The 14534-nt window shown below is 44.5% G+C and overlaps 2 protein-coding genes and 1 long non-coding RNA gene across 4 annotated transcripts in view, besides 4 other annotated features; 1 reads left to right on the forward strand and 2 right to left on the reverse strand.

Moving 5' to 3' along the window:
• Positions 1-1862, reverse strand: part of SLC13A3 (solute carrier family 13 member 3) — a 126658-nt gene extending 124796 nt beyond the window's left edge. For both annotated transcript variants that reach the window (NM_001193340.2, NM_001011554.3), the window contains exon 1: positions 1773-1862. The gene's annotated coding sequence lies outside the window, so the exon portion shown is untranslated. The remainder of the gene's footprint in view (positions 1-1772) is intronic.
• Positions 677-1188: an enhancer, noted in NCBI's record as "H3K27ac-H3K4me1 hESC enhancer chr20:45311939-45312450 (GRCh37/hg19 assembly coordinates)". NCBI's record gives its function as "activates a minimal SCP1, AML or CMV promoter by ChIP-STARR-seq in primed H9 embryonic stem cells {active_cell/tissue: H9 hESC(primed)}" and the evidence as "EXISTENCE:reporter gene assay evidence [ECO:0000049][PMID:30033119]".
• Positions 1742-6821, reverse strand: TP53RK (TP53 regulating kinase). The gene is made up of 2 exons (NM_033550.4): positions 6509-6821; positions 1742-4608 (listed from the first exon to the last, which is right to left on the reverse strand). The coding sequence occupies exons 1-2, from the start codon at positions 6789-6791 to the stop codon at positions 4130-4132; spliced, it is 762 nt and encodes a 253-aa protein (NP_291028.3). The 5' UTR covers positions 6792-6821; the 3' UTR covers positions 1742-4129.
• Positions 6400-6449: a silencer, noted in NCBI's record as "silent region_12976". NCBI's record gives its function as "represses an Ori minimal core promoter by ATAC-STARR-seq in GM12878 lymphoblastoid cells {active_cell/tissue: GM12878}" and the evidence as "EXISTENCE:reporter gene assay evidence [ECO:0000049][PMID:35858748]".
• On the forward strand, positions 6676-7666 carry TP53RK-DT (TP53RK divergent transcript). The gene has a single exon (NR_186399.1). It is a non-coding gene; the product is annotated as a TP53RK divergent transcript (long non-coding RNA).
• Positions 6680-7269: an enhancer, noted in NCBI's record as "active region_17978". NCBI's record gives its function as "activates an Ori minimal core promoter by ATAC-STARR-seq in GM12878 lymphoblastoid cells {active_cell/tissue: GM12878}" and the evidence as "EXISTENCE:reporter gene assay evidence [ECO:0000049][PMID:35858748]".
• Positions 13499-13618: an enhancer, noted in NCBI's record as "active region_17979". NCBI's record gives its function as "activates an Ori minimal core promoter by ATAC-STARR-seq in GM12878 lymphoblastoid cells {active_cell/tissue: GM12878}" and the evidence as "EXISTENCE:reporter gene assay evidence [ECO:0000049][PMID:35858748]".

Here is a 14534-nt window from a genome sequence, read left to right on the forward strand (position 1 = left end):
TTGCTTCTTCTGTAAAATGGGTTAATGCATGGAAAGAACGTAACTCTATAAAGTCAGCTGCTGTTGTTAAAAGCATGGGTCTGAATCCCAGCTCTGTCACTTATTGTGACCCTAGGACATATTTCCTATTGCCCAGTGTTTCCTCCACCATAAAATGGAGATTATAATCCTCATCTGGTTGGGTTTAGCTGGGGATTCACACAAAACTGCTAGTGCTGTTGGCTCAGCACTGCAAAGCACCTGCAGCTCCCCGGTGGACGTCAAGGGATCTGAAAGTGCAGAGGGTTCCTTAGCCCTTTGTGAGAGGAACTAGGAAAGGAATCCACTGTTCACCTAGGAACATTTGTTAACCCTTTATTTCCCACTGTGGGCCAAGGGCTAAGTGTGCAGATGGACGATTCTCCTCCTGGGGGCATTTGTGACGTTTCTCCAGTCTCCAATATCTGCCACTCTCCCTCTTGATACTTGCAAAGATCATTACTGCTTCCTGACAGCTGCGGCTACCCCCACTGCTACTGGCCACTGATACCGGAGATAGAAATTATTTAGGCAGATATTCAGGGCAAAAGAGTCCTCGGCGGAATTTCCCTTCTAACAAAAAAGCAGCCCCAGAAATCATTTCTTTTCTAACAAAGAGCAGCCTGAAAAATCCAGCTGCAAACATAGATAAGGAAGCTGGAAGCTTGCACGGGGGAATGCTGGTAGCTGTGCCAATAGAGAAGGGCTAACTGGGGGCCAGGCATGTCTAACACGAGGCTCCATCTTCCCTTTTCTTTTACCACGTGTACAGTAATAAAGAAATGGGCAACATGGCACAGCTCAGGCAGAGAACTCGCCTGCATAATAAAAGACTGGGGTGGGGGTGCCGAGATTCATACCCTGTGCCAATGGCACACCTGGGTCCAACCAGTTTTTCACACCCTATGTAGATCAGACAGCACCTCCTCACCAGCTCATCTATAAAACTCCCTTGCATTTCACTGCAGATCCAGCAACCCATTTTTCCAGGACCCCTCTTGTAGCAGAGCGCTATTCTCTTTCTTTCAACTATTAAATTTCTGCTCTTCACCTCACTCTTTGTGGGTCCCTGTCCTTGATCTCCGTGACCATGAGACAACGAGCCTCGGGTGTTACCCCCAGACAAGCCTGCTTCTCCACCGCGTTCCCTGCCTCAGTGGCTGCCAGGTCCTGTGCCAAGCAGTTGGAGCATGCTCGCCACAGCTTCCACCCTGGCTACTGTTTTTACTGGACCAGCTGGTTTCGGTCGCCTTTTCACTTCCAGGTTTCTTGCTTCCACTCTTGCCCTCTATGGTTTTCTGCCAGCAACCAATGCAACCCTTTCAAAACAATCAGGTATCACCCTGTTAAAAACCCTGAGTCCCATTAAGAACAAAACCCAACCTTGTAACAGGGCCCTGCAGGATCCGGCCCCGCCTCTCCCATCTCATGTTCTGCTCCTCCCCCTTGCTCACTAATGCCGGCCACACCAGCCTTGCTGTCGGGGATGTTTCTTCTTCGCCAACTTCGCACGCCACAGCCTGCCTGGGATATACTCTCTTCATCTCCTGTGTTTCTGGTTTTCCTTCACATCTTCACTCATCACTGTCTGAAACTGTCTTATGTTCCCCAGGAAAGTAAGCTTCATGTTCCCCTCTATTAGATCTCCAGTGCCCGGCGCATAGTGAGTACTAGTGTATTAGTCCGTTCTCACACTGCTGATAAAGACATACCCGAGACCGGGTAATTTATAAAGGAAAAGTTTAATAACTCACAGTTCAGCATGGCTGGGGATGCCTCAGAAAACTTATAATCATGGCAGATGGGGAAACAAACACACCCTTCTCCACGTGGCAGCAGGAAGTGCCGAACAAGAGGGAAAAGCCCCTTATAAAACCATCAGATCTCGTGAGAACTCACTCGCTATCACGAGAACAGCACGGAGGTAGCCGCCCCGAGGATTAAATTACCTCCCACTGGGTCCCTCCCATGTCACGTGGGGATTACGGGAACAATTCAAGATGAGATTTGGATGGGGACACAGCCAAACCCTATCAACTAGGGATTTGTTGACTTAATGCACACGAGCCAACCATACCCCAACAAAGCAGGTACTAGCCTTATAGTACACGTGAGGAAACTGAGGAATGAGGCATCTCATTCATGTTGGGAATATTAATTGAAAAACCTGTCAGCTCCTGTGGCCCTTGGAGTTCCTTGAAAATAATGTTATACGCCAATACTTATTATAGTACTGTAAAGATGCACCATATCCCATATCTCATTTGTCAGTGGAAAGAACACAGATTTGGAGCCAGGTAAAAGTACCTCTTGCTACCTGTGACGTCTTGGACAAGTTCCCACCTTTTGGGGCCAGTTTCTCCATCTATAAAATGGGGATAATGCCTAACTTAAGAGTTATTTTAGATCCAATATAAAAATTCCCAGCCCAATGCCTGGCATGCAGTAAGCAGGCAATTATATTATTTTTCCTCTCTACTAGTCACAACTACCCAGGAAGGGAAGTTTTCACTCATTCCTGGCCATCCGCCCCATGCTGGGCACTTGGGGCATGCTGACTGTGGTGAATGAAACAGACAGGGTACTGGTCCTACTATTATAGAATGTTTGCTTCATAAGAACAGGCACTGACTGTATCATCTCTGAACACAATGGAATGAAGCTGGCAATAACAAAAGAAAAATTGGAACATTTACAAATGTGTGGAAATTAACAGATTTCTAAACAATCAAGGGGTCAAAGAAGAAATCACAAGGGAAATTAGAAAATACTTTGAGATGAATGAAAACAAAAACACAAAATACCAAAACTGAGAGTGTGTGATGACAACAGTGTGCAGAGGGAAATTCATAGCTGCAAATGTCCATATTAAGAAACAAGACAGTAACTATGTGAGGTGATGGGTGTTAATTAGCTCAGCTGTAGCAATCATTTCATAATGTATATCAAAACATCCCACTGTATACTTTATACTTTTTTATAAAAATAAATATTCTTACAAAAGGACAGGCGCTGTGTCTGTCTGGCTCACCATTGTACCCAATACCCAACAGGGTGCCAAGTACCCAATACCCAACAGGGTGCCAAGGAACACAAAAGGCACTCAAAATATGTTTGTTGATTGGAGTTTACAAGGAAGAAAGGTATTTTCTTATCCCTCTCTTCCCTTCCCACCCAAACATAGCTTCTTCTAAGAAAAGAAACTGAGGCTGGGCAAGGTTAAAAGCTAGCTCCTGGTACTTTTGCATCCACACTCAGTTTACCTGTGCCTTAAACCAGACTTCATCAAACTTCAGTCTTCACAAGTCACTTCACCATTTTTGCTCTACCTACTTACTGCCTGTGATAGAAATCAACTCAGTTTGTTTAGCGGTATAAACTTAAAAGGAACTTTAGATCAATCACTTGTCTTAGAAGGTAACCACAAAAATACAAAGCAATAAAAATAAAAACATGTTAACATGAATTTCAGTTGCCTGAAAGCTGTAAGTCTGCTTTTTTAAAAGAGAAATTGGAGTTAAGCAGACTTTTCATTTTTTGATCATGACCCTGAAAGAGAAATATATTTGACATCAAAACTCAGCACATATCCTTGGTCTATATATACACGTGAAAGTTTCATAAAACAATACACTGATATTTTCCATGCTGTATTCTATTTCATTTTTTAAAATGCTGGTTGTATCCCATTAAACTGGTTTCAAAATAAATATAACATGTACACAACAACAACAAAAAAAAACACTGGGTTAGAGGGCCAGTAAGCTCAGCGAGTATCAGCAACTGAGACTTCATCCTTGTCTCACAAGGACTAAAAAGAGAATAATGTTCTCATTATGTGGTTCAATGCCACACCCATGTATCTGAGATATACATGTCACAATCTGGGAGAAGCCTGTCCTCAATTTACTTTAAATACCCAATTCTGCCTAGAACATGACTTAGACACATAGTAAGCTCTTGAGTGAAGTGCAGATGATAATGACACGATCACATACCACTTAAAAATATCTTAACACCTTTACTTAGATCTCATCTCATACTTGTAGCATTTCTTCAAATTTACTTTGAAAAAAGAGCTTCACTGTGTGTGGTTGTCATACACATTCTTCTACCCAACCATGGACCTCTTTCTTCCTCTCAGGCGCACTTCATCTAATTTTTTTAGCACTGGCCTGGCCTTTTTGGAGGAGGTGGAGTAGCTCTTCAGAAAGGCTTCAAACACAGTTTCAGTGTTGGGATGGGTACTGAGGAAGGCCTTCTCCAGGACATAGAGGTCTACTCCCTTATCCTCTGGAAGTGCTGAAATGAAACTCAGCCCAAAGTCTATGAGCACAATGTTCAGCTGTTCCAGGGGGGGTTTCAGGAGCATGTTGGAGGTGGTGAGATCACCATGAATGAGGTCTTCATCGTGCATTCGAGCCAAAACCTGCCCAATTGTCTTGGCTAAGTTGGAGAGACCCTGGGGAGTTTTTTCAGTCTCCATAGTGGACTGAATATAATCTCGAACAGTCACTGAGCCTTCAATTTCTTCCATATATAAGCAGTTGGAAGCATAGTCCACAAAAAAGACAACTGGGGCAGATATTCCTGAAATCAAGACATAAGTGGTTATTGGGTTGGATTTTTTTTAACGGGTAAACTTAATTTTCAAAGATTAAGCCAGTTTTTCCATCTATATCTACTTATTTCAGGACTATTGAGGAATGCTACAGGAAATGGTACAACTGAACTCATCTGGAATATTCCCCTGCTCATGCCCACTGCAGGACTATGCCTGGGAACACCCCACAGCTAAACTGAGGAGGCCATAGCTTCCTCCTCCCTTCCAAACCACCCTTTCTCACTGGACTTCATTTGTCACACTCACTCTCTAAAAAACAAACAAAACAAAGGCCGGGTGTGGTGGCTCATGCCTGTAATCCCAGCACTTTGGGAGGCGGAGGCAGGCGGATCACTTGAGGTCAGAAGTTCGAGACCCCCATCTCTACTAAAAATACAAAAATTAGCCAGGTGTGGTGGCTCACGCCTGTAGTCCCAGCTACTCGGGAGGCTGAGGCAGGAGAATAGCTTGAACTCAGGGAGCGTAAGTTGCAGTGAGCTGAGATTGTGCCACTGCACCACTCCAGCCTGGGTGACAAAGTGAGACACTGTCTCAAAAAACAAAAACAAAGAGCAAGGCACAGCCCAGTCAGAGCAGTTTCTACTGATGAGGACACAAACAGGAGGCCAAGCAGTGTGCTAGCTTCGAGGTTCATCTTCGTAGTCAGAGAGGACAGGGTTCAAATCCCAGCTGCTTTTCTTATTAGTTGTCTAATCTAATCTTAAAATTACATTAACTTCTCTAAGCCTCAGTTTCTGCTACTATACAAGGAACAATAGCTCCAATAAACTCAATGAATCTTTACTGAAAGTCAACCAGGCTCAGTATACTTTTCTAGAAACTGAGAGATGTTATCAATGGGGATACAGCAATAAACAAGCCAGCTATAATACAATCTCTGCTTAACGAAACAGATCATGAGGCTGAAAACAGAAATATGAATACACAAATAACTTCATGAAATCTTAAGTCTCTGAAAGGGCAGCAATGTGTCCGCTTGTTGGCTACTGAATATCCCCCACCCAGATCTCCCAGCACTTAACAATGTCCTGGTACCCACTGGTACCTAAAAAATACTGATAAAAGAAAGGCAAGAAGCGTAAAAGTAAAAAGCCAGGGCTTCTGAGTCAGAGGCATAAGGAGCTGAGGGCCTGGACCGGCCACTTAGTAACCGTGTAACCTTGGGCAAGTTACTTCTCTCTGAGTGTCACTTTCTCATCTGAGGACAAAGTTTATGGTGCTGGCGCACAATGATGTTTAATGAAAAAATAGGCAATTTAATGAAATCCAACATTTATTGGGCACTATGTGCCAGGCACACATTTGAACATAATACGTGACACACATACCTCCTCTAATGGTCACAACATCCCTATGACATGGATACTGCTACTATGTCTCCCATTTTACAGGTGAGAAAACCGAGGCTGAGAGGCTAAATAACTTGTTGAAAGGCTACACAAGCAGCAGAGTTAGTATTTCAACCCAGGGAGCCTGGCTCCAGTGGGGCAAGTACTTGTCATTACATGTTTCTTAAAACTAATAAATGGAAAGATAATGATCGAAAATTGAAACGAGTCAAATGGGGAAACCAAGGCTCAGGGAAGTTAAACATGTTCAACATTGAGCAATAATGACAGATCCCAGATTTGAACCAGGCAGAACGGCCTCAGGACAAAAGCTTGACGCTGCATGGCCACGTGGTTTCTTAAGACTTAACGAATGAAAAAAGGGATGAAAGAATAACATTTCCGAAAGGCCGGACACCGCAGAAGGCACAGAAGGAGAAACTGAGGGAAATCCAGCTTCGGAGCGCAGGGGAGTCCCTCACCCGCCCAGGCCCCAGAGCCTCGGGGCCGCCCACGCCGGGATCCCGGCCCACCTTACCAGCGCGGCGACAGCGGAGGAGCGCCCGGGCCTCCTGCACCGTCCGCCGTCTGCCAAGCCGCGCCTCCAGCGCCGGGTGCCGGTAGCCCTTGGGGAAGCGGTGCTTGATCACCGCCGCGCGGCCCTGGAAGCGGCCACGGAACACGCGCGCCTCGGCACCCTGCTTCACCAGCTCCAGGCCGCTCAAGAAGCGGCTGCTCCGCTCCCGGGCTGCGGCCAGAGCCTCAGCCTCCGGGGCGGGCTCCTCGCCATCGGCCGGCGTAGTAGCTCTGGCCGCCGCCATGACTGCTCGGCGCAACAGCTCCAACCGATCAGCTGTCTCTGAAAACTGTCGCGATGCTTCGGCTCGCTTCGGAAATCCTGGGACTTCTTCGGCAATCCTGGGACTTCTTCGGCTACCCGAATGCGTCCACCCCGGACACTTCCGGCCTGTAAGTGGTTACGCCTCCCAACTTTTCGGCTCTCTGAAGCCTGAGGTTCCCTGCAGGAAGGGCTCTTGTGGCCCCGCCTTCCGCCTCTTCGGCTATCTCCGTACACGTTCGGCAACGCTCAGTAAGTGGCTCTTCCCGACTCCTTGGCTCTCCGGAAATCTTCGGTGACTCTCGCAGCCGGCTTTGGGGGCCCACCTCTCAGTTGGTCGTCTCTTTCCGGAAAACTTCGGCGCCTCTCGAGAAAAACGTCGGACGCGCTTTGCTCTCTTCAGAAGTCTCTTCCGGGACAGCTGTACCCTCTAGTAGTCTCTTTTTGGAACTCCTCTTCCCCTGACTCCTACATTCCCCCCAAAATGTGCTCATACAAGTCAGAGTCGGAAGGGTCAGACAATGAACCATGTTTCCGACATCCTCTTAAGTGCTAGGATAACTACCATTTAGTGCATTCAGAAGAAATAAGGTTAAATGATGAAAATCCTTACAGAAAAGAAAATTGAGACTCAGAGCTGGCAGAGGGGGTGGTAAGATGGGGTGGGGAGTGGGGGCTGGGGAATCCGGGAAAGTCTTCCGGAGACAGAACCTAAACTGAATTGGGAATAATTAAACTTTTTCAGTTTCTACCTGTTTCATTACAAAGCTTATAATAACACAGGCTGTAGCAAATTCTTACAATACGGAACTTTGCACACGCACACATAAATAAATAAACTACCTATCCCCCTTGTGACACTGCTGGCCGTTAGTTTCTTTCCAGAATTTTCTTTCATTCAGTGTGCACACTCACACATCGTTGTGGCGTTTTTTCCAACATAAATGACATCATACTGTGGGTTCTTTGGCAACTTGCTTTTCATTTTCCTAAACAATTTATCTCAGACTATATTCCATATCAATACATACAGAGCTACCACGTCCTTCTACCTGGTCAGGCAGTTTCTTGTTGCTAAACAGTTGTTTCCAGTTTGTTGTTTCTCAGGAAAACACTTTACTTACTATTGCCAGTTTATTATAAAAGATAGTATAAAAGATAAAAATGAACAGCCAGATGAAGACGTACATAAGGAAAAGTAAAAATTGTACGTGTTTATCGTAAGTAACATGTTTTGAAATATGTATACATTGTGGAATGGCTAAATCCAGCTAGTTAACGTTACCTAACATACTGATCATTTCGGGGGTGAGGACACTTAAAATCTATTATCTTAGCATTTTTCAAGAATACAACCCATTGTTATTATCTATAGTCACCATGTCGTGCAATAGATTTCATGAATGTTTCCTCCTATCTAACTGAAATTTTGTATCCTTTGACCAACTTCTCAAAATCCTCCCTATCTCCCTCCCCCTACCCCACCGCCTGGTAACCACCATTCTACTCTGCTTGCATGAGTTCAACTTTTCTTACCTTCCTCATATAAGTGAGATCATGGGATATTTGTCTTTCTGTGCCTAGCTTATTTCATTTAACACAATATCCTCCTGTTCCATCCATGTTGCTGTAAATGACAGCATTCCATTCTTTTTAAAGGCTGAATAGTATCCCATTGTGTATATAAATGTACCATATTTTTATCCATTCATTTAGTGATGGACACTCAGATTGAGAATTGTGAATGATGCTGCAATTAACATGGGACTGCAGACATCTCTTCAATATACTGATTTTGTTTCCTTTGGATATGTACCCAGTAGTAGGGTTGCTGGATCATAAGGTAGTTCTATTTTTATTTTTTTTGAAGAACCTCCATACTGTTGTCCATAATGTCTGTACTAATTTACATTCCTATCAACAGGGTGCAACGGTTCCCTTTTCTCCACATCCTTGCCAACACTTATTATCTTTCTTATGTTTTAAAATAGCGATTCTAACAGGTCAGAGGTGATATCTCATTGTGGGTTTAATTTGCATTTCGCTGATGATTAGTGATGTTGAGCATTTTTTTTTAATATACCCGTTGTCCATTTTTATGTCTTCTTTTGAGAAAGATTTCTTTGGATCTTTTGCCTACTTTTAATTCAGGTTTTGTCCTTTCTTACTATTGGATTGTATTCCTTATATATTTGGATATTAACCCCTCATCAGATGTATGGTTTGCAAAAATTTTCTCCCATTCTGTAGTTTGTCTTTTCACTCTTTTTTTTTCTTTTTTCTTGACTGTGCAGAAACGTTTTAGTTTGATGCAATTCCATTTGTCTATTTTCACTTTTGCTGCCTGTGTTTTGAGAGTCCTACACAAAAAATCGTTGCTCAGGCCAATGCCATGACATTTTGTCCCTGTTTTCTTATAAGAGTTTTATAGTTTTGGCTCTTACATTTAAGTCTAATCCATTTTGAGTTGATTTTTGCATATGATGTAAGATAAGAGTCTAAATTCTTTCACATGAATATCCAGTTGTCCCAACACCATTTATAGAAAAGACTGTCCTTTCTCCATTACGCGTTCTTGGCATGTTTGATGAAACTCAATTGACTATAGTGCGTGGATTTATTTCTGGGCTCTCTATTCTGTTCCATTGGTCTATGTGCCTGTTTTTATGCCAGTGACATGCTGTTTTGATTACAATAACTTTGTAGTATATTTTGAAGTCAGGCAATATGATGCCTCCAGCTTTGTTCTTTTTGCTCAAGATTGCTTTGACTATATGGAGTCTATTATGATTCTATATAAATTTTAGAATTTTTTATTTCTACAAAAATGTCATTGGAATATTGATAAGAATTACATGGAATCTGTAGGACATTTTAACAATGTTACTTCTCCAGTTTTGTTTCATTTTTTTTTGTTTTGTTGTCTCTTATAAACAGTGCTGCAGTGAGCAGGCTTATCCAGCCATCTTTGCACACATGAATGTTTCTGAGGACATCTTTCTACAGGTGATATTGCTGGGTTGTAGGTGACAAGCACTTTGAAACTCGACTCCTCAGCCAAACTACCCTCCCAAAGTTTTGTGCCTATTTATGCTTCAGTCAAATTCATGTCTCATTTTCCCATATCTTCATCTTCATTGAGATTCTCAGGTGCTGGAACGCTCAGTCAGGGGGTGGAGAGGGAGGGTGCTCAGGTTCCAGGCAGTGAGAACAGACACAGGGTAGGATTGGGTTGGACAAGGACCAGCAGCTCCACATGGCTGCTGGCAGGTTGGCACTGGGGACAGGCTGGGAGCTGAAAGAACAAGGACAGTGGCCTGGTCCCAAAGGATTTCTCTTGCTGGAGGAGAGGTGCTGTGAGCCTGGGGTGACTACACCAAGCATGGCCCTTTGGGGCCTTGACCTCTGGCTGCAAAATATGCAGCTGAGCTCTGGGTAGAACAGCCAAGCAGTAAAGGGGAGGGAGGGGTCTACTTTTTAGCCCTTTCTGAGCCTGAAAGAGAACCTATGGCCTCTTCTTCACTTCCCACCCACCAGCACCAGATGCCCATTCAGTGATTTATTCACCAATTAATTTAATAAATATTTATTGAGTGACTACTATAGGCCAGGTACTGTGCTAGGCCCTGGGGACAGAGCTGTAAACAAAATAGAGAATAATTATTACTGCCCTCATGGAGTTTACATTCTAGTGGGTGGAAACCAGCAATAAACAAATAAGGAAAATGTGTCATTGACAGGGGCTAGCAGGAGATAAATCCAGCAGGAAGGGGGATGGGAAGGATGACGTGCATCTGGGCTTGCCAGGGACAGCCCCAGTTTTTGCCTGTTGCCCTGGCATAACTATTATTAGTGCCCCCGCCTTTTTTTTGAGAAGGAGTCTCACTCTGTTGCCCAGGCTGGAGTGCAGTGGCATGATCTTGGCTCACTGCAACCTCAACCTCCCAGGTTCAAGTGATTCTCAGGCCTCAGCCTCCTGAGTAGCTGGGACTATAGGTGTATGCCACCATGCCCAACTAATTTTTTTGTATTTTTAGTAGAGATGGGGTTTCACCGTGTTGGATAGGCTGGTCTCAAACTCCTGACCTCAAGTGATCCACCTGCCTCGGCCTCCCAAAGTGCTGGGATTACAGGCGTGAGCCACTGCGCCCAGGCTAGTGTCCCCTTTTTACTCTCAAAAGCATTCTAGTTTGGATGATACAATATATGGTTACCCTATGTGTAGTAGAGTGGGGGTGGGAGGGAGTGATGCAATTTTATTTTATTTTATTTTTTATTTTTATTTTTATTGAGACAGGGTCTTGCTTTGTTGCCCAGGCTGCAGTGCAGTGATGCAACCTGCTGGGGCTCAAGCAATCAATCCTCCTACCTTAGCCTTCTGAGTAGCTGGGACCACAAGCATGTGCCACCACCCCCAGCCAATTGTTACCATTTTTTGTAGAGATGGGGTCTCCCTATGTAGTGCAGGCTGGTTACGAACTCCTGGCCTCAAGTGATCCTGTTGCCTCGGCCTCCCTCCCAAACTTCTGGGATTACACATCTGAGCTACCATGCCGGGCCTAATTTTAAATAAAGTGGTTGAGAAGGTGTCAACGAAAAGGTGACATTTGAACCCTGTGAATGGATTCCTGGGGGAAGATCTTTCCAGACAGGAGAGGCCCCAGAGAGGAAGTGTGCTTGACATGTTTGAGTAAGAGTGAGTTATTTAACCTCTCTGTGCTTTAGTTTCCTCATCTGTAAAAGAAGATTGTAGATAATATTCATCTTGTAGGGTTTTTGTGATGATTAAATGTGTAACAAGGTAAAACACATAGAACCGTGCTGGGCACATGATATGCACTTCGAAATGGAAGCTATTATTATTATGGAGTGTTTAGTATGATGACAATTAAAACTGGACCCCCAGTATCCAACCACTGCTCCTTGTGGGGGAAGGGGCTTCCCATTGTGTGGTGTCTCGGGGAACACAGAAACCACCTCCCACTACAGAAGCCTCTCCTTTGCCCCATCCTTGTGTGGCTTGCAACAAGAACCCTGACTTGTACCACCACTGAGTGGAGGTGTGTTGTAACTGTATTAATTAGCTAGGAAACAAAATAAACTGCTATAACAAAGTAACCTACAAATACTGGCTTAAATATGAGAGAGATTTATTTCTTGCTTATGAAACATCCAGATCTGTTATTCTCAACTTATTGCTTCCTCCTCTGAGTCTACTCCACTTGTTGCCCTCTCCACTCAGCAAAAAGGGTGATGACAACCAGGAAAAAGAGATCAACCAGCTAAGAACTTGGCCCAAAGTTGCACATGTCACTTCCACTCTCATCCTATTGGCCAGAACTTAGTCACATGGAAGATGCAAAGGAAGCTGGGAAATGTATTCTTTAGCAGGGCGGACACGAATTCAGCTAAAACCCTGGGTGATTATTACTAAAAGGAAGGAGGGGAGGAATGATATTGGGGGACAATTAATAGACTGCAATGGTTTTGATATTTTAAACTGCAAGTAACATCAGTCAACTAATTAGCTTAATTGGCATAAACAATAAGTTCATTTATTATCTCCCAAAATTTCAAGAGGTGTGGCTGGGTGCAGTGGCTCACGCCTGTAATCCCAGCACTTTGGGAGGCTGAGGCAAGTGGATCACCTGAGGTAAGGAGTTGGAGACCAGCCTGGCCAACATAGCTAAACCCTGTCTCTACTAAAAATGCAAAAAATTTGCTGAGCATAGTGGCATGCGCCTGTAGTCCCAGCTACTCAGGAGGCTGAGGCAGGAGAATCACTTGAACCCAGGAGGCAGAGGTTGCAGTGAGCCACGATCACACCATTGCACTCCAGCCTGCACAACAAGAGCAAAACTCCATCTCAATAAATAAATAAATAATTTCAAGAGATGGAAGGTCCCAGCTGTCATTAGATACCAAGGACATGGGGTCCTTTCATTCTTTTCCACCAGCCTCAGCATGTTGTTTTGGTCCTTATCCTTGTCACCTTATGATCTCAAGATGGCTATCAAAGTTCCACACATTATCTGAAGACACAAAAACATTTGGTTCAAGAAGAGGGGCAGTACCTCCTGTATAGTTTTCTTTATTTGGGAGAAAATCCTTTGCTGAAGCCTCTTCTCTCCCCATCACACTTCCCATAAAGGGCATCGGTCATAGTTGGCCCATGTGCCTTTGGCTTAGCTACAGAGGAAGCTGGAAAAGTGAGGATCTGGCATCTTCAGCCTTTGAAGATGGAGATGTGTTCTATAAGCAACGAGCAAGCGAGCTGGGCATAGCTATTGGAAAGGCAGCCACAAATGGCTGGCACACTGTGACGCCCACCAACATCATTTTTCTGTATTTCAGTTTAATCATCTTCAGAATGGGGATAATTAGTTCTACTTTGGCAAGTGCTTATAAAAATTAAACAAGATGTTCAACATAAGGGTGCCTGGTGGATAGCAGACACTCTTCATTTGTTCATTTTCCTTCCTTCCACCCACTAGTCACTGGGGCCCTGTTTGAAATACCAAAGAAAAGCCCTTTGGTCTGAGGGTTGCTATGACACCAATGCCTTGGGCTCTGCAGTCCTTAGGTTTCATTCACACACGAGGCAGGTCGCTTTTTCAAACATAAGATCCTTTATGTTGGCATAATGTGGTTTCTAGCACCTTTCATCAGCCCAGACTACTCAAAGCCTACCCAGAACCAATTCTATTTATAACTCCCAGTTTCCCAAGTTTGTGGCTTCATTATCATAATTGTTAGTGTCCACGTAGTTGTCTCTATGGTTACCAAATTCATCTGAGCCTCTGCCTTAGAAATCTGCATGAAAACATATTTACAAGACCCAGGCTTGCTATGGTCAGACTGGTTCTGGCTTCTGTGGCAGGAAACTCAATTTAAAGCCTTTCAGTGGCTCCCCACTGCACTTAGGATAAAGATCCAATCCTTAATTCAGCCCAGGAGGCCCTGCATAAGATCCCTGCATCCACTTCCAAACTTATCTCCCGTGAAACTCCCCCTTCTACTTGGTCTCTGCTTTTTTTCTTTCTTTCTTTTTTAAGAAACAGGGTCTCACTCTGTCACCCAGGCTGGAGTGCAGTGGCATGATCTCAGCTCACTGCAGCCTCCAACCTCCTGGTCTCAAGCGATTCTCTGGCCTCAGCCTCCTGAGTAGCTAAGACTTCAGGCATGAGCCACCACACCTAGCTAATTTTTGTATTTTTTTATAAAGATGGGTGTCTTACTATGTTGCCCAGGCTGGTCTCCAATTCCCAGACAACTGTAATATCAAGAAACACCAGGAGAGGAGTGAGGTAAGGACAGGAAGGCAGTCAGTGAAAGGTGAGCCCATTTCCACTCTGGGCAACTAGAGCTGAATCCCACTGGGGAACAGAAGCCAGTGTAGATGACTCAGGCCTCAGACCCAAGGGGCAAGGGACCTGGGTACTTAGACAGCAGTCGTTGACTGAGGGTTGTTCCCAAGAGATGTTACTTTCTCTGTGCTCCTGGCCTGCCACAAAGCAGCAGAGCAGGGGCAGAGAGAGCCCAAATGCAGATGCCGGCTTGACTGTCAGCCATGTGCAGTGAAGGGCAAGGCATCCAGGGGACTGAGCATAGCACTGCCAGTGACTGCCCAATGGGGATACATTTTGCATTATTCATCGCCATGGTGGCTGCAAATGACAGAAACAAGCTTAACCACAAAAAGAAATTTATTTTAGGTGCAGCTGGA

The sequence above is a fragment of the Homo sapiens genome, chromosome 20 (genome assembly GCF_000001405.40).
Source record: "Homo sapiens chromosome 20, GRCh38.p14 Primary Assembly".
NCBI lineage: Eukaryota > Metazoa > Chordata > Mammalia > Primates > Hominidae > Homo > Homo sapiens.